General features: G+C 51.4%; 2 protein-coding genes and 1 pseudogene across 3 annotated transcripts in view, besides 6 other annotated features; 1 reads left to right on the forward strand and 2 right to left on the reverse strand.

Annotated features, from left to right (window-relative positions):
* Positions 1 to 12,416, reverse strand: part of LOC124904790 (uncharacterized) — a 57,419-nt gene extending 45,003 nt beyond the window's left edge. Inside the window, exon 1 of the mRNA XM_047439802.1 lies at positions 12,344 to 12,416. Coding sequence (XP_047295758.1) covers positions 12,344 to 12,416 — 73 coding nt within the window. The remainder of the gene's footprint in view (positions 1 to 12,343) is intronic.
* Positions 610 to 1,399: an enhancer, noted in NCBI's record as "NANOG-H3K27ac-H3K4me1 hESC enhancer chr19:41687151-41687940 (GRCh37/hg19 assembly coordinates)". NCBI's record gives its function as "activates a minimal SCP1, AML or CMV promoter by ChIP-STARR-seq in naive H9 embryonic stem cells {active_cell/tissue: H9 hESC(naive)}" and the evidence as "EXISTENCE:reporter gene assay evidence [ECO:0000049][PMID:30033119]".
* Positions 10,291 to 10,593, reverse strand: RN7SL718P (RNA, 7SL, cytoplasmic 718, pseudogene; annotated as a pseudogene).
* Positions 12,109 to 12,609: an enhancer, noted in NCBI's record as "H3K27ac hESC enhancer chr19:41698650-41699150 (GRCh37/hg19 assembly coordinates)". NCBI's record gives its function as "activates a minimal SCP1, AML or CMV promoter by ChIP-STARR-seq in naive H9 embryonic stem cells {active_cell/tissue: H9 hESC(naive)}" and the evidence as "EXISTENCE:reporter gene assay evidence [ECO:0000049][PMID:30033119]".
* Positions 12,109 to 12,611: a biological region, named in NCBI's record as "H3K27ac hESC enhancer GRCh37_chr19:41698650-41699150".
* Positions 12,522 to 12,611: a silencer, noted in NCBI's record as "silent region_10652". NCBI's record gives its function as "represses an Ori minimal core promoter by ATAC-STARR-seq in GM12878 lymphoblastoid cells {active_cell/tissue: GM12878}" and the evidence as "EXISTENCE:reporter gene assay evidence [ECO:0000049][PMID:35858748]".
* On the forward strand, positions 12,583 to 26,903 carry CYP2S1 (cytochrome P450 family 2 subfamily S member 1). 2 transcript variants are annotated; one of them, NM_030622.8, is made up of 9 exons: positions 12,583 to 12,805; positions 13,908 to 14,073; positions 17,143 to 17,292; positions 17,826 to 17,986; positions 18,073 to 18,252; positions 20,595 to 20,736; positions 22,814 to 23,001; positions 25,322 to 25,463; positions 25,644 to 26,903. In NM_030622.8, the coding sequence occupies exons 1-9, from the start codon at positions 12,629 to 12,631 to the stop codon at positions 25,850 to 25,852; spliced, it is 1,515 nt and encodes a 504-aa protein (NP_085125.1). In that variant the 5' UTR covers positions 12,583 to 12,628; the 3' UTR covers positions 25,853 to 26,903. The 2 variants fall into 2 exon arrangements, with proteins under 2 accessions (NP_085125.1, XP_047294667.1); XM_047438711.1 differs by lacking the exons at positions 22,814 to 23,001; positions 25,644 to 26,903 and having other exon boundaries at positions 25,322 to 25,457.
* Positions 13,920 to 14,432: an enhancer, noted in NCBI's record as "H3K27ac-H3K4me1 hESC enhancer chr19:41700461-41700973 (GRCh37/hg19 assembly coordinates)". NCBI's record gives its function as "activates a minimal SCP1, AML or CMV promoter by ChIP-STARR-seq in naive H9 embryonic stem cells {active_cell/tissue: H9 hESC(naive)}" and the evidence as "EXISTENCE:reporter gene assay evidence [ECO:0000049][PMID:30033119]".
* Positions 26,382 to 27,159: an enhancer, noted in NCBI's record as "H3K4me1 hESC enhancer chr19:41712923-41713700 (GRCh37/hg19 assembly coordinates)". NCBI's record gives its function as "activates a minimal SCP1, AML or CMV promoter by ChIP-STARR-seq in primed H9 embryonic stem cells {active_cell/tissue: H9 hESC(primed)}" and the evidence as "EXISTENCE:reporter gene assay evidence [ECO:0000049][PMID:30033119]".

Below are 27,378 nucleotides of genomic sequence, written 5' to 3' on the forward strand. Positions count from 1 at the left end.
GAAGTGAGGAGCCCCTCTGCCTGGCCAGCCACCCCGTCCAGGAGGGAGGTGGGGGAGTCAGCCCCCCACCCGGCCAGCCGCCCCGTCCGGGAGGGAGGTGGGGGGGTCAGCCCCCTGCCCGGCCAGCCGCCCTGTCCAGGAGGGAGGTGGGGGGGTCAGCCCCCCGCCCGGCCAGCCGCCCCGTCTGGGAGGGAGGTGGGGTCAGCCCCCCGCCCGGCCAGCCGCCCCGTCCGGGAGGTGAGGGGCACCTCTGCCCAGCCGCCCCTACTGGGAAGTGAGGAGCCCCTCTGCCTGGCCAGCCACCCCGTCCAGGAGGGAGGTGGGGGAGTCAGCCCCCCACCCGGCCAGCCGCCCCGTCCGGGAGGGAGGTGGGGGGCTCAGCCCCCCGCCCGGCCAGCCGACCCGTCCGGGAGGGAGGTGGGGGGATCAGCACCCCGCCCGGCCAGCCGCCCCGTCCGGGAGGGAGGTGGGGGGGACAGCCCCCGCCCGGCCAGCCAGCCCGTCCGGGAGGGAGGTGGGGGGGTCAGCCCCCCGCCCGGCCAGCCGCCCCGTCCGGGAGGGAGGTGGGGGGGTCAGCCCCCCGCCCGGCCAGACGCCCCGTCCGGGAGGTGAGGGGCGCCTCTGCCCGGCCGCCCCTACTAGGAAGTGAGGAGCCCCTCTCCCAGCCACCACCTCGTCTGGGAGGTGTACCCAACAGCTCATTGAGAACGGGCCGGGATGACAATGGCGGTTTTGTGGAATAGAAAGGGGGGAAAGGTGGGGAAAAGATTGAGAAATCGGATGGTTGCCGGGTCTGTGTAGAAAGAAGTAGACATGGGAGACTTTTCATTTTGTTCTGTACTAAGATAAATTCTTCTGCCTTGGGATCCTGTTGATCGGTGACCTTACCCCCAACCCTGTGCTCTCTGAAACATGTGCTGTGTCCACTCAGGGTTAAATGGATTAAGGGCGGTGCAAGATGTGCTTTGTTAAACAGATGCTTGAAGGCAGCATGCTCGTTAAGAGTCATCACCACTCCTTAATCTCAAGTACCCAGGGACACAAACACTGCGGAAGGCCGCAGGGTCCTCTGCCTAGGAAAACCAGAGACCTTTGTTCACTTGTTTATCTGCCAACCTTCCCTCCACTATTGTCCTATGACCCTGCCAAATCCCCCTCTGCGAGAAACACCCAAGAATGATCAATAAAAAAAAATTAAAAAAAAAAAAAAAAAAAAAAAGAATAAAAAAAATTAGTTGGGCATGGTGGCAGGCGTCTGTAATCGCAGCTACTCAGGAAGCTGAGGCAGGAGAATTGCTTGAACTTGGGAGGCAGAGGTTGCAGTGAGCTGAGATCGTGCCACTGCACTCCAGCCTGGGCAACAGAGGGAGACTCCGTTAAAAAAAAAAAAACAAAAACGAAGAAGTCAAGGCAAAAGTAGAGAGTTTATTTATTTGAGCCAAGCTTGAGGGTTGCAAATCAGAAGTATAGATTCAAATTGCCCTGAATATGCACTCTGATTTAGCAGTACTTGCAAGTTGGATTTATTTTATTTTATTTTATTTTATTTTTTGGTCTGAGACAGGGTCTCACCGTGTCACCCAGGCTGGAGGGTAGCAACAAGATCATAGCTCACCACAGTCTTGAACTCCTGGGATTAAATGATCCTCTTGCCTCAGCCTACCAGTGGATTTTTTTTCTTTTTTGAGACGGAGTCTCACTCTCTTGCCTGGGCTGGAGTGCAATGGCGCGATCTCAGCTGATGCACCTCTGCCTCCCAGTTTCAAGCAATCCTCCTGCCTCAGCCTCCCAAGTAGCTGGGATTGCAGACGTGCACCACCATCCCTGGCTAGTTTTTGAATTTTTATTTTAATCTTTTTTTTTTTTTTTAGTTTTTCTTAGTTTTTGTATTTTTAGTAGAGGCGTGGTTTCTCCATGTCTGCCAGGCTGGTCTCGAACTTCTGACCTCAGGTGATCTGCCCACCATGGCCTCCCACAGTGCTGGGATTACAGGCATGAGCCACTGTGCCCAGCGAACAAGTGGATTTTTAAAGGTAAAAAAAGGGGGACAGGGAGTGGGACTGACACAAGTGGATCGCTTGAGCCCAAGAGTTTAAGACCAGACTGGGCAACATGGCGAAACCTCATCTCTACAAAAAAAAGTACAAAAATTAGGCAGGCATGGTGGTGCATGCCTGTGATTCCACCTACTCAGGAGGCTGAGGTGGGAGAATCACCTGGGCCTGGGAGGTCGAGGCTGCAGTGAGCCATGAACCTGCCACTGCACTCCAGTCTGGGCTATGGGGTGAGACCCTGTCTCAAAAAAACTCAATAACCACCCCCGCTAAAAAAAAAAAAAAAAAAAAATGCTTGTCAGGAATTCTTATTGGTTTACAAAAATAACATAACTCTCAGGAGTTTGAGACCAGCCTGGCCAATAAGGTGCGCGCCACCACGCCCAGCTAATTTTTGTATGTTTAGTGGAGATGGGTTTTCTCCATGTTGGCCAGGCAGGTCTCAAACTCCTGACCTCAGGTGATCTGCCCGCCCCGGCCTCCCAAAGTGCTGGGATTACAGGCATGAGCCACTGCACCCACCCCTTGACTTCTTTCTTTTAGGTCCACAGTACATAGAACATGTCAGGAAAAGAAAGGATGGGGTGAGGTGATGGGGTGAGGATGTAGGATAATGGGACAGGATGAGCAGTGGGATGAGGGGATGGAATGAAGGACTGGATAAGGGATAGGTGGGGGTAAATGAGAGCATGGGGGAGGCAGTGCTCTCCTGATGGTGGGGTGCACGAGTGGATGGATGACAGGATAAATAGGGAAGGGAGGAGGGATAGGATGACGAGACGGCTGTAGAAGCCCAGAGCAGAGAACATTGCTGCTTTGGGGTCGATGATGTAATCACCTCAACTCACTGACACTATTCCCAGCCACGGATGATGCTCACAGAATCTGGGGAAGTCCAAGGCCTGGAAGCAGGACTCATCTTGGACTTCCCCTTCTATCTAGTTCCAGGTGCTGAATGAGGCACCTCTGAAGAAGAGAAAGGAGAGAGACTAAGATAAACAAGACTGAGAGGAAAAAATCAGAGTGGGCAGGCAGAGTGAGCCTGGTAAAGTGGACCACAGAGCAGACAGGCTGTGGCTTAGCCTTGGACAGCAGGTGGGGTTCCAGAGCCATATGCTTGGAGGAGCCTTAGCAAACTAAATCCCCCAGCAGTTTCTTAAACCCATCCATCACACAGCTTGCCAGAACCCTGGGGTTGGCAGCTTCCAGAATGGTTAGGAAAATCCACAGTAGTGGTCAGGCGCGGTGGCTCATGCCTGTAATCCCAGCACTTAGGGAAGCCAAGGCAGGCGGATCACTAGGTCAGGAGATCGAAACCATACTGGTTAACACGGTGAAACCCCGTCTCTACTAAAAATACAAAAAATTAGCTGGGCATGGTGGCATGCGCCTGTAATCCCAGCTACTCGGGAGGCTGGGGCAGGAGAATCACTTGAACCCGGGAGGCAGATATTGCAGTGAGCCGAGATCGCGCCATTGCACTCCACCTGGGCAACAGAGCGAGACTCCGTCTCAAAAAAAAAAAAAGAAAGAAAGAAAAAGAAAATCCACAGTAGGGGGCCAGACACAAAAATGATCACTCCAGCACTGTCCAGCCCAGATCAGAGGGTTTCTGATGGGAAGTAGCTGGGGTCAGGGCAAGGAGTGGTGGAAAAAGTCAGGCTGTTTTCAGCTGAACTATACAAATGGGCATCTCCTGGCCCAGGGTGGGGATTTGGCATTGCAGAAAGGCCAGAATCCACCTGGAATCACTCAGTTACTGTGAAATCTATCTTGGGAACCTAAGAATGTTTGCTTTCTAGACTTGAGAATTTTGGACACTTGATTGCTTTCTGGATGAATTTTAGAGATTTATAAATTGTATTGAAAGTGTTTATTCGACAAGATGTTTATTGAGCATCCACAGTGTGTTAGGCACTGGGGATACAGCAACACACAAAACAGACAGAGAATCGGCCCTTATGGAGAGACCATTTCAGTGGGAAAAGGGAGTATAAAAAAGCAAATCAAGGTCGGGAGCAGTGGCTCCCACCAGTAATCCCAGAACTTTGGGAGGCCGAGGCAGGTGGATCGCTTGAGCCCTGGGCAACATAGCTAAACCCTGTCTCTACAAAAAATTAGCCAGGCATGGAGCGCGTACCTGTAGTCCCAGCTACTCAGGAGGTCGAGGCAGGAGGATCGCTGACATCTGTGAGGCAGAGGCTTCAGTGAGCAGAGATCACACTACTGCACTCCAGCTTAGGCAACAGAGCAAAACTCTGTCTTTAAAAAAAAAAAAAAGTAGGCCGGGCAGGGCCGGGCCCAGTGGCTCATGCCTGTAATACCAGAACTTTGGGAGGCCAAGGTGGGTGGATCACTTGAGTGAGGTCAGAAGTTCAAGACCAGCCTGGCCAACATGGTGAAACCCTGTCTCTACTAAAAATACAAAAATTAGCTAGGCATGGTGTCACATGCCTGTAGTCCCAGCTACTCAGGAAGCTGAGGCAGGAGTATCACTTGAATCCAGGAGGCAGAGGTTGCAGTGAACGGAGATCACACCACTGCACTCCAGCCTGGGCAACAAGTGTGAGACTCCATCTCAAAAAAGAAAGTGAATCAATATATAAAATATAAAAAGACAAAAAATAATACACGTTGGCAATGATGTGGAGGAAAGGAAACATACCCTGTTGGTGAGAATGTAAATTAGTCCAGCCACTATGAGAAACAGTATGGAAATTTCTCAAAAAACTATCATAAGGGCTGGGTGCGGTGGCTCACGCCTGTAATCCCAGCACTTTGGGAGGCCGAGGTGGGTGGATCACAAGGTCAGGAGATCCAGACCATCCTGGCTAACACGGTGAAACCCCGTCTCTACTAAAAATACAAAAAAAAAAAAAAATTAGCTGGCCATGGCGGCGGGCACCTGTAGTCCCAGCTACTCAGAAGGCTGAGGCAGGAGAATGGCGTGAACCCAGGAGGCGAAGCTTGCAGTGAGCCGAGATGGCACCACTGCACTCCAGCATGGGCGACAGAGCAAGACTCCATCTCAAAAAACAAACAAAAAACAATCATATGATCCAGCAATCCCACTACTGGGAATTTATGGAAAGGAAAAGAAATCAGTGTATCAAAGGGATAGCTACACAGCAATGTTTATTACAGCACTATTCACAATAGCAAAGATATGGAATCAACCTAAATGTCCATCAACAGATGAATGGATAAAGAATATGTGGTACATCTACACAATGGAAAACTATTTGGCCGTTAGAAAAAGAATAAAATCCTGTCATTTGCAGCAACATGTGAAACTGTCTGTCCCTACAGGGTTGACAAGAACTGCAAGCCAGGTTCTAGATAGAAATATAATTAAGCATTGGCTGGGCACAGTGGCTCACACCTGTAATCCCAGCACTTTGCGAGGCCGAGGTGGGCAGATCACTTGAGGGCAGGTGTTCGAGACCAGCCTGGCCAACATGGTGAAACCCTGTCTCTACTAAAAATACAAAAAGTAGCTGGGTGTGATGGCAGGTGCCTGTAATCTCAGCTACTTGGGAGGCCTAGGCAGAATTGCTTGAACCCGGGAGGCAGAGGTTGCAGTGAGCCGAGATCATGCCATTGCACTCCCAGCTTGGGTGACAGAGTGAGACTCAAAAAAAAAAAAAAAAAAGAAAAAGAAAGAAAGAAAGAAAATTAAGCATTAATCATGCTGCACTTTGGTCCACTTCCTTGTTGCTGAAAGCCACATAGCTCTAGATGCTGACCATTTGTATCCCCATTGTTCTTATAGACAGCATCGCTGACCTTAGAATCATGATGTTTTTGTTAAGGATCACGTCAGATGTTTTTTGGACCCCCAATTCCAGCCACCAGTTTGAAGACCCCTACAGAGGATGGGGATTGTCAGGCCTCTGAGCCCAAGCTAAGCCATCACATCCCCTGTGACCTGCACGTATACATCTAGATGGCCTGAAGTAACTGAAGAATCACAAAAGAAGTGAAAATGGCCTGTTCCTGCCTTAACTGATGACATTACCTTGTGAAATTCCTTCTCCTGGCTCATCCTGGCTCAAAAGCTCCCCGGCTGAACACCTTGTGACCCCCACCCCTGCCAGCCAGAGAACAACCCCCTTTGACTGTAATTTTCCACTACCTACCCAAATCCTATAAAACGGCCCCACCCCTATCTCCCTTCACTGACTCTTTTTGGACTCAGCCCGCCTGCACCCAGGTGAAATAAACAGCCTTGTTGCTCACACAAAGCCTGTTTGGTGGTCTCTTCACACGGACGCGAGTGAAAGGGATCAGCATGAGACTATAACTTCTTCTTCCACCCTCTGTCCCGTGACTTCACTCTGCACTCTTCAACCAATCAACGATCTCCACCCTTCAGCCCACTCCAAAACCCTTGAACACCCTAGCCCCAAACTCTTAGGGGAGATGGATGTGAGGTTTCCCCCCATCTCCTCATTCAGTGACCCTACAATTAAACCTGCTTCTCTGCTGCAAACCAGTTATAACTGTAGTAGGCTCATTGCCCAGTGCACACAGCAAATCAACAGGAGACACTGGGTTGCAGGAGAGAAGAGGTTTCATCGTAGGGTCGCCAAAAGAGATGAGGAGTTGAAGAATGTAGGGTGAAGTCACGGGACAGGGAGATGAAGAAGCCACATTCTCATGCTGATCCCATTCCCCAGTGGGTAGCCTTCACACTGGTTGCTGGAATTCAAGGTCTGAAAAGCATCTTTTTACATTTTTGTTTATGTATTTATTATTATTATTATTATTATTATTATTATTATTATTATTATTGAGATGGAGTCTCACTCTGTCTCCCAGGTTGGAGTATAGTGGTACAATCTCGGCTCACTGCAACCTCTGCCTCCTGGGTTCAAGCAATTCTCCTGTCTCAGCCTCCTGAGTAGCTGGGATTACAGGTGTGAACCACCTCCCCCCACCACCTCCACTCCGCTAATGTCCTTTGTATTTTTAGTAGAGATAGGGTTTCACCATGTTGACTGGGTTGATCTTGAAGTCCTGACCTCAAGTGACCTACCCACCTCAGCCTCCCAAAGTGTTGGGATTATGGGTGTGAGCCACCGTGCCTGGCCCTGAAAAGCATCTTAAGTGATTCTTTCTTTAACAAAAGCCTTATGACTCTAATATCAGAGATTCTGTCTATAGGAACAATGGGGGTGCACATGGTCAGTATCTAGCTCTACCTGAGTTTTAGCAACAAGGAAATGGACCAAAGTGCAGCCCGAATAACACTTAATTATAAGTATGTTTCTGTCCAGAACCCAGCATGCAATTCTTGTCAGCCCTGTGGGAATGGTTTCACAGTGTCTCGATATACTGACTTGCTGTGTGCATTGGGCAACAAACCTATTACAATTACACATGGATGTAACTGGAGGTCATTACATTAATTGAAATAAGCCAGGCACAGAAAGATAAACAATGCATGTTCTTACTCCCAAGTGGAAGCTAAAAAAGTTGATCACATGGAGGTAGAGAATGGAATGATGGATACTAGAGACTGGGAAAGGCGTATGGGTGGGGTGGGGTGGGGAGAGAGGTTGGTTAATACACCTAGACAGAAGGAATAAGTTCCCTTTTTTTTTGAGACGGAGTCTCACTCTGTTGCCCAGGCTGGAAGGCAGTGGCACAATCTCAGCTCACTGCAACCTCTGCCTCTTGGGTTCAAGCAATCCTCCTGCCTCAGCCTCCAGAGTAGCTGCGATTACAGGCACGTGCCACCATAACCGGCTAATTTTTTTTTTTTTTTCAGACGGAGTCTCACTCTGTCACCCAGGCTGGAGTGCAGTGGCACAATCTCAGCTCACTGCAAGCTCCACCTCCCAGGTTCACGCCATTCTCCTGCCTCAGCCTGCCGAGTAGCTGGGACTATAGACGCCTGACACCACGCCCGGCTAATTTTTTGTATTTTTAGTAGAGATGGGGTTTCACCGCGTTAGCCAGGATGGTCTTGATCTCCTGACCTCGTGATCTGCCCGTCTCGGCCTCCCAAAGTGCTGGGATTACAGGCGTGAGCCACCACGCCCGGCAAGAACTTTTAAGTTTTCTTATCTATAGGATGTTGCAATCATCATCTTTAAACATTAGACATGGAATCTTTATAATAATCTTGCCATATATATATATATATATATATTTTTTTTTTTTTTTTTTTTTTTTTTTTGACACTGAGTCTCACTTTATCGCCCAGGCTGGAGTACAGTGGCACAATCTTGGCTCACTACAACCTCCACCTCCTGGGTTCAAGTGATTCTCCTGCCTCAGCCACCCCAGTGGCTGGGGACTACAGGCGTGCACCACCACATCCAGTTAATTTTTTTTTTTTTTTTGAGACGGAGTCTCGTTCTGTCGCCCAGGCTAGAGTTCAGTGGGGAGATCTCAGCTCACTGAAACCTCCGCCTTGTGGGTTCAAGCAAGCAATTCTCTGCCACAGCCTCCCGACTAGCTGGGATTAGAAGTGCCCACCACCACGTCTGGCTAATTTTTGTATTTTTAGTAGAGACGGGGTTTCATCATCTTGGCCAGACTGGTCTTGAACTCCTGACCCCGTGATCCACCCACCTCGGTCTCCCAAAGTACTGGGATTACAGGCGTGAGCCACTGCGCCTGGCCGGTTAATTTTTATATTTTCAGTAGAGACAGGATTTCACCACGCTGGCTAGGCTGGTCTCAAACTCCTGACCTCAGGTGATCCACCCGCCTTGGCCACTGTGCCTGGTCAACAGTCTTTCTATTTTTATTCTAGGCTGGAGACCTTTGTCTCAAAAACAAAACGAGAATGCTCCCTGGAGTCTGTACTGATCCCTCTTCCCTCCCACCGTAGATTAGTTTTCTCCTTGCATTTAAAAAGACCTTTCTGGCTGGCATCCAGTGAATGAATTGTGGAGGAGGGGGAGAAGGAGAGAGGAAGCAGGTAGCTCAGTGGGGAAGCTACTGCAAAATCCTGGCAAGCAATGACAGTACCTTGAATCAGGGCTGGTGTCAGTTGGATCAGGGTGGTAGGGAAAGGAGGAAATGGATAAATTTGGAATGTATTTGGAGGTAGAGCCAGCAGGATTTGCTGACAAACTGGGTTTAAAGTCAAAGAGAGAAATCAAGGTTAAACCTGACAAATAAAAACAGATGTGGTCTCAGGCGAGTAGAGACATTATGCAGAAAGACTATTGCATCAGGGGGAAAGATGGCTGTAAAAACAATGAACAAGACCAGAATCTGATAACCCAGAAGGATGTGTTGTCTAATGAAACTAATTTTTTCCCCTCCTCCTATTTTTTTTTTGAGACGGAGTTTCACTCTTGTTGCCCAAGCTGGAGTGCAATGGCGCGATCTCGGCTCACTGCAACCTCCGCCTCCCGGATTCAAGCGATTCTCCTGCCTCAGCCTCCCTGAGTAGCTGGGATTACAGGCATGCACCACCACACCTGGCTAATTTTGTATTTTTAGTAGAGACGGGGTTTCACCATGTTGGCCAGGCTGGTCTCAAACTCCTGACCTCAGGTGATCTGCCCACCTCAGCCTCCCAAAGTACTGGGATTGCAGGCATGAGACACCGCGCCCGGCCTCTCCTATATTTTGTTGTCATCAGCAAGTGAAAAGATGGTGATACCTTTTACAGAGGTAAGGAAGGAGGTGAGAGAAAGTATTCCCAGATGGGGTGGGAAGCTGGTACAGCCCACTTTGCAGGAGGTGGGGGAATCGGGAATTCTTTTATATCCATGAAGTTTGAGATGTCTGTTAGCTCTCCCAGGGGTAGAACAGAGGGAGCAGATAGGCTCAAGGTTGGATTTGGAACGTCCTAGAAACCTTCCAGAACAAGGCAAAGGAGGAACTGAGAACTGGCATTTACTTCATAGCAAGAGCGTATGAGCCTCCCCACCCCTCCTCCTTTGGCTTCAGGGCACCCCTGGAATGTTAGAGGCTAGAATCAATGCTAAAGAAGACCACAGTCAAGGATTCCCCAGACTCCAGGGAGCACTCTGGCTATGCTCTTGAGAGAAAGGGCTCTGGACTAGAATACAAATTGCAAGATTGCAGGCCGGGGGCAGTGGCTCATGCCTGTAATCCCAGCACTGTGGGAGGCCGAGGTGGGTAAATTGCCTGAGGTCAGGAGGTCGAGACCAGCCTGGCCAACATGGTGAAACCCCAACTCTACTAAAAATACAAAAGTTAGCTGGGAGTGGTGGTGGGCGCTTGTAATCCCAGCTACTCAGGAGGCTGAGGCAGGAGAATCACATGAACCCAGGAGGCAGAGATTGCAGTGAGCCAAGATCGTGCCACTGCACTCCAGCCTGGGCAACAGAGCGAGACCCTGTCTCAAAAAAAGATTGTGAAAATTCTAAGAATCTAATTTTTTTTTTTTTTTTTTTTTTTTTGAGACGGAGTCTCGCTCTGTCGCCCAGGCTGGAGTGCAGTGGCGGGATCTCGGCTCACTGCAAGCTCCGCCTCCCGGGTTCACGCCATTCTCCTGCCTCAGCCTCCCAAGTAGCTGGGACTACAGGCGCCCGCCACTACGCCCGGCTAATTTTTTGTATTTTTAGTAGAGACGGGGTTTCACCATTTTAGCCAGGATGGTCTCGATCTCCTGACCTCGTGATCCGCCCGCCTCAGCCTCCCAAAGAATCTAATATTTTAAAACTCCAGCATATGCAACTCAAAGCTCATCTAATTATACACTTAAGAGTTATGTATTTCATTGTATATAAGATACCTTGAGGAACAAAAAGTATCTGTAAACAAATACTGAGCTCTAGCTACTGATATGCATGCTGATGTATTTGGGAGTGAAGTGTACTGGTATCTGCAACTGACTTTGAAATGCTTAAAAAAAAATCAATGGATAGGCAAAATGAACAGATATGTAATGAAAAAAGGGCCAGGCACAGTGGCTCATGCCTGTAATCCCAGCACTTTGGGAGGCTGAGGTGAGAAGATCACCTGAGGTCAGGAGTTTGAGACCAGCCTGGTCAACATGGCAAAAACCCCGTCTCTACTAAAAATACAAAAAATAGCCAGGCATGGTGGTGCACGCCTGTAATCGCAGCTACTTGAGAGGCTGAAGCAGGAGAATTGCTTGAACCCGGGAGGCAGAGGTTGCAATGAGCCAAGACTGTATGCTATTGCACTCCACTCTGGGCAACAGAGTGAGACTCTATCTCAAACAAAAAAAGAATAGATAGGTAACAAAGAAAGGATAATAAAATGGTGGAATCTGATGGGTATACAGGTGTTCACTGTATGTTTGAAATTTTAATATTTTTATAATAAAATACGAAATCAAAATGCAAAGCAAACAAAGTAACTGCCCTGCTGAAAACCCCTCCAGACAGCTTCCGTTTGCAATAGAAATAAAATGCAGTCTTTTCCAAGACCTTGCAAGATGGCCCCTGCAGACTTCATGAATCTTATCTCCTACATTCAATCTTTGAAAATATAACAAATATTTATTGAGTGCCTACTGTGTGTCAGGCACTGCACTATATGTTGGGGATACAGCAGTGAACCAAACCTACAATAATTCATGCACAAATGGTTCTAACATTCTTCCTTCTCAAGAAGCCCATTCCCCTGGCAGGCCTTCTCACTTCCTGAAATTGTTTTCATCTCATCTTCATCTGCATGTGGATATGAGCTCAGGAAGGCCAGAGCCCTTCTCTCCATCGCTCATAGCTGCACCCTCGGGTCTAGAACAAGGTCTTGTTTATAGTAAGACCTCAATAACAGTTAGTTGCAGAAATATTAGCTAACATCTATTTAGTGCTTGTTACATGTGCACCTGCGTCTGCTTTAAATGGTGTGCACAGATGTACTATTTAATCCTGAAAACTAGCCCCATTTTACAAGGCTAACAGAGGCACAGAGGAATTAGGCTGTGAATTCAAGCAGTCTGGCTTCAGCCATCACGGTCCTAACCGCTCTGCAAACTGCCTCTAAACGAATGAATGAATGACTCAATCATTCTAACTGGCCCAAGTCAAAATATTAACTCTGCCACTCAGCCAAGTTGACCTGGGGCCAACCGATTTATCTCCCTGGACTTCAGATTGTTTATCCTTAAAGGTCAAGTCCTTCCTCTCAGTTCGTGAAGATGTAAGATGCTGGAGAAAATTGACTCAAAGACACCCCATACACGCACGCACACAGGAACCCACATCCGAACAATGAGCGAGGTAGGAGCTGGGGAGAGTGGCGCGGGGTCACCGCCAGATGCGGGGTGTGGCAACCTCCAGGCGGCCAAAGTCTCTGACTTCCAGGTTCTTCTGTTTGCTTACTCCCTATCCGGGGGCCCAAGGCGCTGTCTCCGCCGCCCAAGCCCCGCGTAAACCTGGGTGACCTCGGAGACATCCGTTGGAGCATGAGTTCCCGACATCAGGCGGCGGCGGTGGTCCGGGAGAAACCCGGCGGCGGGGAGATAAGCCTGCCCAGGAGGCAGGGGGCTGGGCTAGCTGCCCCGCCCCGCGCCTGACTTCGTTGGGGAGGGAGACGCCCGGCTCCCGCCCCTAACTAGCCCAGCCGCGCGGAGCGCCTGGGAGAGGAGAAGGAGCCGACCTGCCGAGATGGAGGCGACCGGCACCTGGGCGCTGCTGCTGGCGCTGGCGCTGCTCCTGCTGCTGACGCTGGCGCTGTCCGGGACCAGGGCCCGAGGCCACCTGCCCCCCGGGCCCACGCCGCTACCACTGCTGGGAAACCTCCTGCAGCTACGGCCCGGGGCGCTGTATTCAGGGCTCATGCGGGTAAGGGGCTCTGGGGACGTCCTGGCTAGGGGTGGGAGGATTCCTGGGAGAGAAACCCGAGTGCCAGGGTGAGGGGCTTTTCGGGTATCCTAGGGAGGAGGCAGGGGCAGGGGTCCCAAGGCAAAGGGGCTGCTGCTGTCCTGGGGTTGGGGGCAGGAGCAGGTTGTCCAGGGCTGAGAAGGGGAGAGGTGCCCGGGAGAGAGGATCGTGGGGTGGGGGACCAGGGCTAGGAGGGGCAGAGACCTCTGCCTACAGAATCCTGGGAAGGTGATGGGCAGGGACCGAGGCTGAAAGAGACAGGAGTCCTCCAGCCGAGGAGAAGCTGATGCAGCTGGGCTTGTCCCAGAGGGAGAGGTAGCTGGAGCCATACAGGTGGGGCATGCTGAAGAGGGCACAAAGAAGAAAAGGGGGAGGCGTCCCTGCGGGGAGTTGGAGGCAGAGAAGAGGCTGGAGGGTTGCAGGCTCAGAGAGGGGGTCCCGCTGAAGGAATCTGCCAGCAGAGAATGCAGGATGGGAGGATGGGTGGAGCTCAGTTGGGAGTTCCTGGGACTGGGGAGGAAGGAGAGCAAGAAAGAAGGCAGAGGCAGCCCCAGCCTTAGGGGATAGCAGGTGGGAGTGGGCAGAGGCCTGAAGTTTCCCATTCAAAAGGATTCTGGGTGACTTCAAGGACGTAGAAAAAAGGGTGGGGTCTTGGGGGAGAGATGGGGCGGATACTCAGCAGTGTCTGCTCCAGAATTTCAGGGTTTTGTGGTGACTGAAAGGGGTGGCTGGATATTTGGGGGGCAGGGAGGGCCCTAAGGAATTAAGGGAGACCCAAACTGCTTCTGGATTGCCCAGCGTCAGAGGTTAGGGTTCAGCAGGAAGCAAGGGAACGACAGGAAGTTGGGGGATGCCACTGAAGGATGTACTGGGGGAGGAGGCCCGGGAGCCTAGTGCAAAAAGAGAACTGAGCCTCAGCTATTTCTGCTGGGATGGGGGCAGGTTCCTGGTAGAGGGCGTAGAAGCTAGACCCGGTGGCTCCTCAAGTGACAGGGGCCATGATGGAGACACCTTGGATCGAAGAGGTCACAGCACCCTCCTCTTTCTTCCTCCCTACCCCCAGCTGAGTAAGAAGTACGGACCGGTGTTCACCATCTACCTGGGACCCTGGCGGCCTGTGGTGGTCCTGGTTGGGCAGGAGGCTGTGCGGGAGGCCCTGGGAGGTCAGGCTGAGGAGTTCAGCGGCCGGGGAACCGTAGCGATGCTGGAAGGGACTTTTGATGGCCATGGTAAGTCAAGGGCTGCTAGGCCCTCCGCTCACAGCCTGCCACCACTTACTGGTGTGTGACCTTTGCACATGGCTTAGTCCCTCTGTTGCCTCATCTGTCAAATGGAGTGATAACAGTGCCCATCAGCCGGGTGCAGTGGCTAGTGCCTGAAATCCCAACACTTTGGGAGGCGGAGGTGGGTGGATCACTTGAGGTCAGGAGTTCGAGACCAGCCTGGCCAACATGGTGAAACCCTGTCTCTACTAAAAATATAAAAATTAGCTGGGCATGGTGGTGCGTACCTGTAATCCCAGATACTTGGGAGGTTGAGGCAGGAGAATCGCTTGAACCCGGGAGGCAGATGTTGCAGTGAACCAAGACTGTGCCACTGCACTCCAGTCTGGGCAACAGAGTGAGCCTCCATCTCAAACAAACAAACAAAAAGCAGTGCCCATCATGTAGGATTGAGTGATTGAGTGAGGACTGAGCCTTGTGCAAAGTGAGCACTCACTAATCACCAGGTTGTAGTATCAGTGATAACCATCAATGATCCAGGTAAAGCCCTGAGGGTTCAGAAAGATGCCGGAGCGCTTTCAAGGTGCTGGGGATTGGTGGGCAAGCCCTCGAATAATAGAAACAGTTCTCTGTATTACAACAGAAAGCAGGAGGCCCATGCTGGGTGCTGCCAGGAACTCAGTAGTAACTAAGACAGCACCGGTGCTGCTTCCCCAGCGCACCTAGGCCAGTGGGGAAACAGACTCACCACACAGTCCCAGCCCAGAGTGGTCAGGGCCAAGATGGGGAAGCACGGGGAGAAAGGTCAGGGTGGGATGGGGAGGGGTCAGGGCAAGAGGGGTCAGGGCCAGGCTGAGGGAAGCCCTGGGACTGTAGGAATTTAGAGGAGGTACCTGACCCGGCATGTTTGGTGAGGGAGCTTCAGGAAGTCTTCCTGGAAGAGAGGCTGTCGGAGCTGAGACTCATAAGATGAGTGGGGAGGGTGTTCCAGGCAGAAAGACCAGCACCTACAAAAGCATGACTTTGAGAGAAGCATTCATCCATTCAACTGATGAATTTTCAGACTGGGCACGCTGGCTCATGCCTGTAATCCCAGCACTTTGGAAGGCTGAATGGGGAGGATGACTTGAGCCTAGGCATTTGTGACAAGCCTGGGCAACATGGTGAGACCCTGCCTCCACAAAACAAACAAACAAACAAAAAATCATTATACCTGGTACCATGGGTACCAGGTACATAGAAATGACTCAGGCAGATATGGTGTCCTCTCCTACTGTGGGAGAGGCGGGCTTATACTGCAGTAAGACAATAGAGGGAGGGAATATAATCCTAAAATGAGAGGTACAGATTTGAGAGCAAACACAGGGCACAGGCATATGTACGAGGGTAAAGAGGGAATCAGGGAAGGCTTCTCAGAGAAGGTGACATTTAAGCCGGGACATGAAGGATGAACGAGTTAGTTCACCAAGGATGGGATGGAAAGGGGTGAGAGTGATGGAGGCAGAGGGAACTGCAGGATCATAGGCCTAGACAGGGGATCCTGACGCCCTTGAGGAAGTGAGAGAAGACCAGCGCAGTCGTAGTGGGTTAAGTAACAAAGCTGAGAAGCCAGGGAAATCCCTGGTCATGCAGGGCCTGTGAGTCACGTCAGAGTGTTTGGGCTTTTGTTTTTCCTGGGAGCAGTCGATTTTAAGCAGGGAACAGCTGTATTCAGAGTTGGGAAGATCCTGTGGTTGCTGCCTGAAGGGGATGAAACTGGAGGCTAGGAGCCCAGGGTGATAGGGAGGATCCAGGGTGATGGGGAGGCTGGGAGGTCCGCGGTGATGGACCAGGGCTGGGGCCAGGGGATGGGGAGGAAGGAGTAATTGGGAGAGGCCTGGGGCTCTGGCCGAGGAATGGATGGTGGGCTGAAACAGGGAGAGGAGAGATGCTTAGGCCACTTTGGAACACAGTAGGGCAAGGACAGGAGACACCCAAGGGGAAGTGCCCAAGAGACCACGACAGGCTGGCATTGGACAGGGAAGGTCTGTCTGGAGCAGGTGTCTTGGATAAGGGAGGAAAATGGTGCAGTTCCATCCTCCTCCCTCTCTGTTCAACCTCTAAACTACATGGGGCACAGGACCCAGTGGGACTCCATAAATGATGGGATGGGTGGATGGAAGGAAGGAAGGAGGAAACAACTCTTCATTCATCCTGGTTATTTACAGAACAGGCCAGGTGCGGTGCTCACGCTTGCCATTCTAGCACTTTGGGAGGCTGAGGTGGGTGGATTACCTCAGGTCAGGAGTTCAAGACCAGCCTAGACAACGTAGAGAAACCCCATCTCTACTGAAGATATAAAATTAGCTGGGCGTAGTGGCATATGCCTGTAATCCCAGCTAGTCGGGAAGCTGAGGCAGGAGAATCGCTTGAACCCGAGAGGCAGAGGTTGCGGTGAGCTGAGATCGTGCCATTGCACTCCAGCCTGGGTGACAAAGCAAGACCTCGTCTCAATAATAATAATAATTACAAAACAGAAGGAGCCTGGGTCATCCCAGCTACCTACTTTTCAGGAGAATGTACTCCCTTACCCAAGGGCAAAGGATGGGAGAACCAGTTTGATTATGCATTTATTGAGCACCTACTGAGTCCTCATCCCTGGGCTAGGCTGGAATGGACTCAGATGGAGCCTGAAGAGTCCCCCTCAGGGAACCTCACTAGAAAGAAGGAGGAATCGGCCGGGCGCGGTGGCTCACGCCTGTAATCCCAACACTTTGGGAGGCTGAGGTGGGTGGATCACAAGGTCAGGAGATCGAGACCATCCTGGCTAACACAGTGAAACCCCATCTCTACTAAAAATACAAAAAATGAGCCAGGCATGGTGGCGGGCGCCTGTAGTCCCAGCTACTCAGGAGGCTGAGGCAGGAGAATTGCTTGAACCCGGGAGGCAGAGGTTGCAGTGAGACGAGATCACGCCACTGCACTCCAGCCTGGGCAACAGAGCGAGATTCCGTCTCAAAAAAAAAAAGAAAGAAAGGAAGAAGGGGGAATGGGGGAGAGGGGCCGGTCCCTTTTTGAGTCTAGCCTTCTGCGCAGGGGTTTTCTTCTCCAACGGGGAGCGGTGGAGGCAGCTGAGGAAGTTTACCATGCTTGCTCTGCGGGACCTGGGCATGGGGAAGCGAGAAGGCGAGGAGCTGATCCAGGCGGAGGCCCGGTGTCTGGTGGAGACATTCCAGGGGACAGAAGGTCAGCATGGCGGGGTCACCCCAGGGTCTCCAGCCGAGTGAAAGGGAAAACTCTCCTACTGTGGCTGGGGGTGGCCCCAACCCAGGTCCTGGAATGGGCAGGAGGGGAAGCCTTGAACTCTAGGGCTGGCCTGGGGGTTCTGTTCACTGCCACCTTCTGTCTCTGTCCCACTGTCTCTCCGAGGCTGTCATGACATCTCTCTGTGTGTCTCTGGTGCTATCATCCCATTCTTCCTGGGTCTCCATCTCTCTCTCTGTCTCTTTTCTTTCTCTCTCCTTTCCTCTATTTTTTGGGCCCTCAGTCTATCTCTGTTTCTGTCTCCCTGTCTGTGTGATGGTCACTCTGTTTCTTTCTCCCTGTCTGTTTCTCTGTCCCTATCTGTCTGTATCCTTCTTTGCCTGTTTAGCTCTCTCCCTGCGCTGTCCATCCATCTTTCCCTGCCTCCCTGTCTCTCTCTGGTTGGGTTCAGCTCCAACCTGCTCCCCTCTGCCTGGCTCCATCACAGCCTACCTCCCTGCCCCCATTCCCCCCAGGACGCCCATTCGATCCCTCCCTGCTGCTGGCCCAGGCCACCTCCAACGTAGTCTGCTCCCTCCTCTTTGGCCTCCGCTTCTCCTATGAGGATAAGGAGTTCCAGGCCGTGGTCCGGGCAGCTGGTGGTACCCTGCTGGGAGTCAGCTCCCAGGGGGGTCAGGTGAGTGGGTGGGACCCCTCTCCAACTACCTTCCCTGAAGGTTCCTGCCAAGGTCCCATGAGAACTAGCTGCCCTTCTCCCCACAGACCTACGAGATGTTCTCCTGGTTCCTGCGGCCCCTGCCAGGCCCCCACAAGCAGCTCCTCCACCACGTCAGCACCTTGGCTGCCTTCACAGTCCGGCAGGTGCAGCAGCACCAGGGGAACCTGGATGCTTCGGGCCCCGCACGTGACCTTGTCGATGCCTTCCTGCTGAAGATGGCACAGGTGTGGGAAGGGTGCAGGGACCCCCTCTCTGAATGGGCGTGGTGACCTGGCAGGTCCCCAGCCAGGTGTCCCTGGGGACCTCAATTGGGTTCCTCTCTCTTTCTCTCTCTGCATGTCTCTGTGAGTATGAGTGTCTCTGTGCATGTGTGTGCATCCCTTCTCTGCACATCTGTCTGTCCCTTTCAGGGCGTTGCTCTCACTGCCTCTCCCGCCCCCGACCTGGGCATTTGTGCCGGGCTGTCTGTCTCTCCAGCATCTCTCCTCTTTCTCCCTCCCACCTCGGCCCTTGTGTTCAGGCCCCATGCCCAGGGTCCTACACCAGCAATCCCCAGGATCACTTCATCCCATCCCCTGCAGCCTCCCCAGACTTTTATGTAAATTCACAATTTTATGTGAATTATGGTCATTTATTAGGAAGCCTTGCAATATCAAGTTATGTTAATAAAGTCCACTTTATTAATTATATAAGAACAATATTTCTTTTCCTTTTTTTTTTCTTTTCTTTTTAAAGAGACAGGATCTCTTTCTGTTGCCCAGGCTAGAGTACAGTTGCAAAATCATAGCTCACTGCAACCTTGAACTCCTGGGCTCAAGCAATCCTCCTGCCTCGGGCTCCTGAGTAGCTGGGACAACAGGTGTGCACCACCACACCTGGCTAAATTTTTTTTTTTTCTTTGTAGAGATAGACTCTCACTATGTTACCCAGGCTGGTCTTGAATTCCTGGGCTCATGTAATCCTCCTGCTGCCTTGAACTCCCAAAGTGCTGGGACTATAGGCATAAGACATCATGCCCGGTCGGGCACAGTGGCTCATGCCTGTAATCTCAGGACTTTGGGAGGCCGAGACGGGCGGATCACCTGAGGTCGGGAGTTCGAGACCAGCCTGACCAACATGGAGAAACCCCATCTCTACTAAAAAAAAAAATACAAAATTAGCCGGACGTGGTGGCACATGCCTGTAATCCCAGCTACTAGGGAGGCTGAGGCAGGAGAATCGCTTGAACCCGGGAGGCTTAGGTTGCGGTGAGCTGAGATTGCACCATTGCACTCCAGCCTGGGCAACAAGAGCGAAATTCCATCTCAAAAAAAAAAAAAAAGAAAAAAAGAAAAAAGACACCATGCCCTATAAGTAAACTAGAATTAAGGTGACTCCTAAGGAAATAAATAGTTTTTAACTGTACGAACTTTTGGAAGAATGGGGCCAATTCTTTAATTAAATGCAGCCTCCCTGTTTGTGGAGAAAGAAAAATTTTTCTTAACCCTATTGCCCCATTTCTTTTCTCTTTTATTGAATATTTTTTAGTTTTAACTATAGTAAAATACACATAACGTTTACCATCTTAACCATTTTTAGGTATACAGTACAGTAGTGTTCAGTACATTCATACTGTTATGCAATCAGTCTCCAGAACTCTTCATGTTGCAAAGCTGAAACTCTATACCCATTAAACAACTGCCTGTTCCTCCCTCCTCCAACCCCTGGCAATCACCTTTTTTTTTTTGAGATGAAGTCTCACTCTGTCACCCAGGCTAGAGTGCGGTGGCTCGATCTCGGCTCACTGCAAGCTCCGCCTCCCGGGTTCATGCCATTCTCCTGCCTCAGTCTCCCAAGCAGCTGGGACTACAGGTGCCCGTCACCACGCCTGGCTAATTTTTTGTATTTTTAGTAGAGATGGAGTTTCATCGTGTTAGCCAGGCTGATCTCAAACTCCTGGCCTCAAGTGATCCACCCGCCTCGGCCTCCCAAAGTGCTGGGACTACAGGCGTGAGCCACTGTGCCTGGCCAGGAAGTAGACTCTTGATATTAGTTCTCTCTGGTTGAAATGTTTTTAAAAATGAAAGAGAATGACTAATAACAAAAACACAGAAAGTTATAAGGATTGATGAAGATGTGGAGACTTTGAAACCCATGTATACCATTGGTGGGAATGTGAAACGACGCAGCCCTGTGGAAAATGGTACAGCAGTTACCTGAGGTCAGGAGTTTGAAACCAACCTGGCCAACATGCAGAAACCCCGTCTCCATTAAATGTACAAAAATTAGCCAGGCATGGTGGTGCGCACCTGTAATCCCAGCTACTCGGGAGGCTGAGGCAGGAGAATTGCTTGAACCCAGGAGGCGGAGGTTGCAGTGAGCCGAGATCGTGCCACTGCACTCAGCCTGGGCAACAAAGCAAGACTCTGTCTCAAAAAAAAAAAGTCTACTTCCCAACCTTCCCAAAAATTTATCTAAACCCCGTGACAAAACTTTAACTTGTGTTTCCGACCCCAGGCTTGGCTGTTCTGGACATTTACTTCCCAAAGGCTGTGTTCTCTCAGCCCCTCTGCCTGGTTTCTTTCAGGAGGAACAAAACCCAGGCACAGAATTCACCAACAAGAACATGCTGATGACAGTCATTTATTTGCTGTTTGCTGGGACGATGACGGTCAGCACCACGGTCGGCTATACCCTCCTGCTCCTGATGAAATACCCTCATGTCCAAAGTAAGAGCCTTTTCCACTTGCCAGGCCTTGGGAACAGAAGTCAGGGTTCTAGGCTGAGCAAGGTGGCTCACGCCTATAATCCCAGCACTTTGGGAGGCTGAGGCGGGCTGATCACTTGAGAATAGGAGTTTAAGACCAGCCTGGCCAACACAGTGAAACCCCATCTCTACTGAAAATACAAAAATTAGCGGGTGTGGTGGCATGCACTTGTAATCCCAGCACTCAGGTGGCTGAGGAGTGAGAATTGTTTGAGCCCAGGAGGTAGAAGTTGCAGTGAGCTGACATCACACCACTGCACTCCAGCCTGGGCGACAGAGCGAGACACTGTTTCAAAAAAAAAAAAGTGAGAATTCTAGAGGGAAGAGTGGGTGGGCCAAGCAGACAGGCTGAGTTAGATCTTTGAGGCATCGATGGGCATGGCGTTTGAGATGTCGAGGAGCCAGAAGAGGTTCAGGAGTTGCTGATTGCAGTATGAGGCACAGTGAAAAACAAGGCAGGTGTCTGTGGGCCTCATCGCCTTAGTGATACATTAGGTGCCTTATCCTGAGCCATGGGGAGCAATGCAATGACTTTGAGCAGGGGAGGGCAAGGTCAAATTGGTTTTTTATTTTTATTTTTTTTACTTTTTGTGGGGGATAGACTCTCACTCTGTTGCCCAGGCTGGAGTGCAGTAGTGCGATCTCGGCCCACTGCAACCTCCGGCCTCCTGGGTTCAAGCAATTCTCCTGCCTCAGCCTCCCAAGTAGCTAGGATTACAAGCATGCACCACCACGCCCAGCTAACTTTTGTATGTTTAGTAGAGACAGGGTTTCCCCATGTTGGCCAGGCTGGTCCCGAACTCCTGACCTCAAGTGATCTGCCCACCTCAGCCTTGCAAAGTGCTGGGATTACAGGCATGAGCCAAGGCACCCAGCCCAACTCTAGCATTTTCGGGTCAGGCAGCTGCTGTGGGCCATGGGGACGGGCTGACCTGGAATATGGGAGTGGAGGTCCTGGTAGTGTTGCAGGAGTGGAATTAGCTGTGACTTCCAGCAGTGACTTGGGTTCTCTGAGTCTGTTTCCTCACCTAGGAAATGGGGATGGATAACAATATGTACCTCACAAGGGTGCTATGGGAATTAAGAAAGTATGGATGAGCCAGGCATGGTGGCTTATACCTGTAATCCCAGCACTTTGGGAGGCTGAGGTGGGAGGATCACTTGAGGCTAGGAGTTCAAGATCAGCCTGGGCAGCATAATGAGGCCCTGTCTCTACCGAAAATAGAAAAATTAGCTGGGTGTGGTGGTGCGTGCCTGTGGTCATAGCTACTCAGGAGACTGAGGTGGAAGGATCACCTGAGCCCAGGAGGTGAGATGAAGGCTATTACAGTGAGCCGTCATTGTACTACTGCACCAGCCTGGGCAACAGAGTAAGACCCTGTCTCAAAAAAAAAAGAGAGAGAGAGAAGGCCAGGTACGGTGGCTCACATCTGTAATCCCAGCACTTTGGGAGGCCAAGGCAGGTGGATCACCTGAGGTCAGGAGTTCGAGACCAGCCTCGCTAACATGGTGAAACCCTGTCTCTATTGAAAATACAAAAATGAGCTGGGCATGATGGCAGGCGTCTGTAGTCCCAGCTACTCGGGAGGCTGAGGTGGGAGAATCTCCTGAACCCGGGAGGCGGAGTTGCAGCAAGCCAGGATCGCGCCACTGCACTCCAGCCTGGGTGGCAGAGCGTGTAATCCCAGCTACTCAGGAGGCTGAGGCGGGAGAATCGCTTGAATCCGGGAGGCAGAGGTTGTGGTGAGCCAAGATCGCACCATTGCACTCCAGCCTGGGCAACAAGAGCAAAACTCCGTTGCAAAAAAAAATAATAATAATAAAATGAAATAAAATAAAATAAAATAAGAGAGAGAGAAGATAGATGGAACACCCAACACACAAGATGTGTGGTCTTTGGGCTCAGTGAGGGCTGGGGGACCACTCCTCCCCACCTGTCAGCCTCACCCCAAACTACAGCTATGCAAGCAGATGGGCTTCTGAGAGGAGGATCCCTGGGCCCTACCCCCGTCTGACTCCTGCCCTCCTCTTGCTTGCAGAGTGGGTACGTGAGGAGCTGAATCGGGAGCTGGGGGCTGGCCAGGCACCAAGCCTAGGGGACCGTACCCGCCTCCCTTACACCGACGCGGTTCTGCATGAGGCGCAGCGGCTGCTGGCGCTGGTGCCCATGGGAATACCCCGCACCCTCATGCGGACCACCCGCTTCCGAGGGTACACCCTGCCCCAGGTGGGTATGCGTATGGCTGCCACCCATGGTTCTCTGCCTCGGGGCCTGAGCCCGGGTGGTTTGCTGTCAGTGTCTCCCTGACTTTTTCTTGATCTTAGTGTCTCTCTCTCTCTCTCTCTGTCTTTATCTCCCTCTCTTTCTCTGTCTCTGTCTTCCTCCTCCACTCCTACCCCCCTGCATCTTTCTTCTCCTTCTTTCTCTGACACCCCCTCCCTTTCTGCATATATTTTTTTTCTTTTTTTGAGACAGAGTCTCGCACTGTCGCCCGGGCTGGAGTGCAATGGCGTGATCTCAGCTCACTGCAACCTCCGCCTCCCAGGTTCAAGTGATTCTCCTGCCTCAGCCTCCTGAGTAGCTGGGATTACAGGTGCCCACCACCACGCCCAGCTAATTTTTTGTATTTTTAGTAGACACGGGGTTTCATTATGTTGGTCAGGCTGGTCTTGAACTCCTGACCTCGTGATCTGCCCGCTTCGGCCTCCCAAAGTGCTGGGATTACAGGCGTGAGCCACCGCACCCAGCCATGCTTTCTGCATCTTTTAACTCTTTCTGTTTCTTTTTGGTTTGTGTTTTCTTCCCCTTTGACTCTATCTCTGGGCCCCATCTGCCCCACAGATCTCCCAATTCTACCTCCTTCCAAGGTGGTTGGGACAATCGAATGAGGTAACATACAGAGAAGCAGTTTGAAAACTGAGGAGCAAGTCCAGGACTAAGGGAAGCCCTCTTGACCCTTAGCCCCTGCTGCAGACACATTCTCTCCTCTGTCTCTCTCTCTCAATCTCAGTGCCCTTCACTGGAGAGCAGCTCCGATGCAGAACCAAAAGGGGGCGATGTTTCCCCAGAAACCCCAGCAGTTTATGCAAGCAGCTCCCTCCTCCACCTTCACTGCAGAATCAAACCTATGGCAGTTAGGATCCAGTGCTGCTATGCTGCTATTTTCTTTTTCTTCTTCTTCTTTTTTTTTTTTTTTTTTTTTCCGAGATGGAGTCTCGCTCTGTTGCCCAGGCTGGAGTGCACTGGCGTGATCTCGGCTCACTGCAACCTCCGCCTCCCAGGTTCAAGCAATTCTCTTGCCTCAGCCTCCTGGGTAGCTGGGATTACAGGTGTATGCCACCACACCCGGCTAATTTTTGTCTTTTTAGTAGAGATGGGTTTTCACCATGTTGGTCAGGCTGGTCTCAAACTCCTGACCTCATGAACTGCCTGCCTCGGCCTCCTAAAGTGCTGGGATTACAGGCGTGAGCCACTGCACCTGGCCTACCCCCTCCTGTTTTGTAGATGGGGCCTTGGGCAAATCACTTCCCCCCCTGAACCTCAATATATCCCTCCTCTACATTAGAAACAATAATAGTATCAACTTGAAGCTGTAAGATAATGCTTGTAAAACAAACACCAACTCAACTCTTGGGAACCGGTCCTGTGTACCAGGCAGCAACAATTTAATGATGATAATGACAGGTATCCAGGCTTGAGGACCTGCTCTGCACCAGGGGTTATTCTGAGTGCTTTGCATATCTATTATCTCATTTAATCTTTAAAGCAACCCTATACCATTATCATGCCCATCTTACAGATAAGGAAACTGAGAGCTTGAAAAGTTTTTAGAGGATTTGCCAAGGTCCCCCAGCCTGCAAATAGTAGATTCAAGATTTGAACTCAGAGACTATGCCTTAACTACTATTCTTTGCCTTTCTTTCTTTCTTTTTTTCTTTCTTTCTTTCTTTCTTTCTTTCTTTCTTTCTTTCTCTCTCTCTCTTTCTTTCTCTCTTTCTTTCTTTCTTTCTCTCTCTCTCTCTTTCTTTCTTTTCTTTTTCTTTCTCTCTCTCTCTCTTTCTTCCTTTCTTCCTTCCTCCCTTCCTCCCTTCCTCCCTTCCTGTCTTCCTCTCTTTCTCTCTTTCTTTCTTGACAGGGTCTCTCTTTGTCTCCCAGGCTGGGGTGCAGTGGTACAAGCATAGCTCACAGCAGCCTTGAACTCCTAGGCTCAAGTGATCCTCCCACGTCAGCCTCCTGAGCAGCTGGGACAACGGGCTCATACCACCATGCCTGGCTAATTTTTTAATTTTTCCTAGAGACAAGGTCTTGTTATATTGCCCAGGCTGGTCTCAAACTCCTGGGCTCAAATGCTTCTCTCACCTCAGCCTCCCACGTGGCTGGGATTACAGGCATGAGCCACTGCACGCCACTCAACACTCCACAAATGTTGATGCCATTAGGTTTTGTGAACTAGTGTCCCTGGCACCCGAGACTTGTACTCCACACTCGAGGACCAAATGGACTGGGGTGGGAAGGGGTTTATAGTTTCATTATTATTTCCCCTCAGGGCACGGAGGTCTTCCCCCTCCTTGGCTCCATCCTGCATGACCCCAACATCTTCAAGCACCCAGAAGAGTTCAACCCAGACCGTTTCCTGGATGCAGATGGACGGTTCAGGAAGCATGAGGCGTTCCTGCCCTTCTCCTTAGGTATCTGCTGCAGCCCTGGGTATCACAAGCAGGTGCTGGCGAACTCCAGGCATCTGTGCCAGCTGGGGGCACCCTTCTGCACCCTGGGCTTACTGTTGGCTCCTCCACCTGCTGTTCCCCCCGTGGGCCTGGGTGTGAGGAATACTGACTCAGCCCTCTCTCTCTCTCTCTCCTCACCAGGGAAGCGTGTCTGCCTTGGAGAGGGCCTGGCAAAAGCGGAGCTCTTCCTCTTCTTCACCACCATCCTACAAGCCTTCTCCCTGGAGAGCCCGTGCCCGCCGGACACCCTGAGCCTCAAGCCCACCGTCAGTGGCCTTTTCAACATTCCCCCAGCCTTCCAGCTGCAAGTCCGTCCCACTGACCTTCACTCCACCACGCAGACCAGATGAAGGAAGGCAACTTGGAAGTGGTGGGTGCCCAGGACGGTGCCTCCAGCCTCAACAGTGGGCATGGACAGGGTTAATGTCTCCAGAGTGTACACTGCAGGCAGCCACATTTACACGCCTGCAGTTGTTTTCCGGAGTCTGTCCCACGGCCCACACGCTCACTTGACTCATGCTGCTAAGATGCACAACCGCACACCCATACACAACTACAAGGGCCACAAAGCAACTGCTGGGTTAGCTTTCCACAGACATAAATATAGTCCATCTGCAATCACAAGCACATAGCCAGGTAACCCACCAACTCCCCTGGATCTGCAGCCCACACGTGGGAGTCTGGCTGTCACCTTCACAAGCCACAGAAACGGCCACACATGTTCACAGCTCACACGCCCTCTCCATTCATCGAACTTCTCAGTGTCCCTGTCCCTGGTGCCTGGCACAGGGAACAGCATGCCCCCTCCGGGGTCATGCCACCCAGAGACTGTCGCTGTCTATGGCCCCAACTCATGCTCCCTCTCTTGGCTACACCACTCTCCCAGCCTGTGACCACCGATGTCCACACACCCCCAACCACTTGTCCACACAGCTACCCACGTACGACATCGTCCTGGCTCCCCAGAGTATCTTCCCACTGAGACACGCCGCCCCCACAGAGGCACAGTCCCCAGCCACCTCTGCAACTGCAGCCCTCAGTCACCCCTTTTTAAGCACCCTGATTCTACCAAATGCAAACACATCTGGGTCTGCGATTATGCACAGAGACTTTGGACATACGAGGACCCTCAGACCGGAGGAACACCTGCCCAACCCCAACACGTGCTTATGTAACCACGTGGAAAGCGGCCCCTGCTGCCCCTCCACACACACATACACACTCACTGATCTACAGCCCCTGTTCGGCGTCAGAGTCCCCACTAGACCCAGTGGAAGGGGTTAGAGACCAAGTAGGGGCCAGTTTCCAATTCACCCTGTCAGGGAGTGAGCCGGATCTGACGTTCCTTGTGACTTAAGGGTCCGGCTTGGGAATTAAAGTTTGTTTCTGGCCTTTAGCCTACTGCGTGTGTGACCCGTGTCAGTCACTGTGAGTAAGGGGTGGGGACAGGGGAGTCCACCCCTCCCCTGAGGCTGGGCGGGAGCTGAAAAACATGGCCACCGCCCACCCTGGCTGTTGACATCAGGACCAGATGTGGAGCTGGGAGGAGGGGCAGGGCTGGTGACGCCCTGGGCCTCATTTCCAAAAAGGGCCAAGGTGTCCGGCGGTGGGAAGTGGGCAAGGAGGGGGTAACCCAAGCTGGACTGTGGACCTTGGGGGCTTCCTCAGCCAGGGAGAGCCTGAAGCCAACTAGATCCAGACCCTAGAGACTCTTCAAACTTGAGTACAGGAACTAGCTTGCAACACAGACTCTAAGCCCACTCCCATTTCTTCCACCCTTTTTCTCTTGCCTCCCCTTCACAAGGAAACCAGAGGCATTTGTAAATTTCCTTTCTTTTTTTTTTTTTTTTTTTTTTTGAGACGGAGTCTCACTCTG

The sequence above is a fragment of the Homo sapiens genome, chromosome 19 (assembly GCF_000001405.40).
Source record: "Homo sapiens chromosome 19, GRCh38.p14 Primary Assembly".
In the NCBI taxonomy this organism is placed as follows: domain Eukaryota; kingdom Metazoa; phylum Chordata; class Mammalia; order Primates; family Hominidae; genus Homo; species Homo sapiens.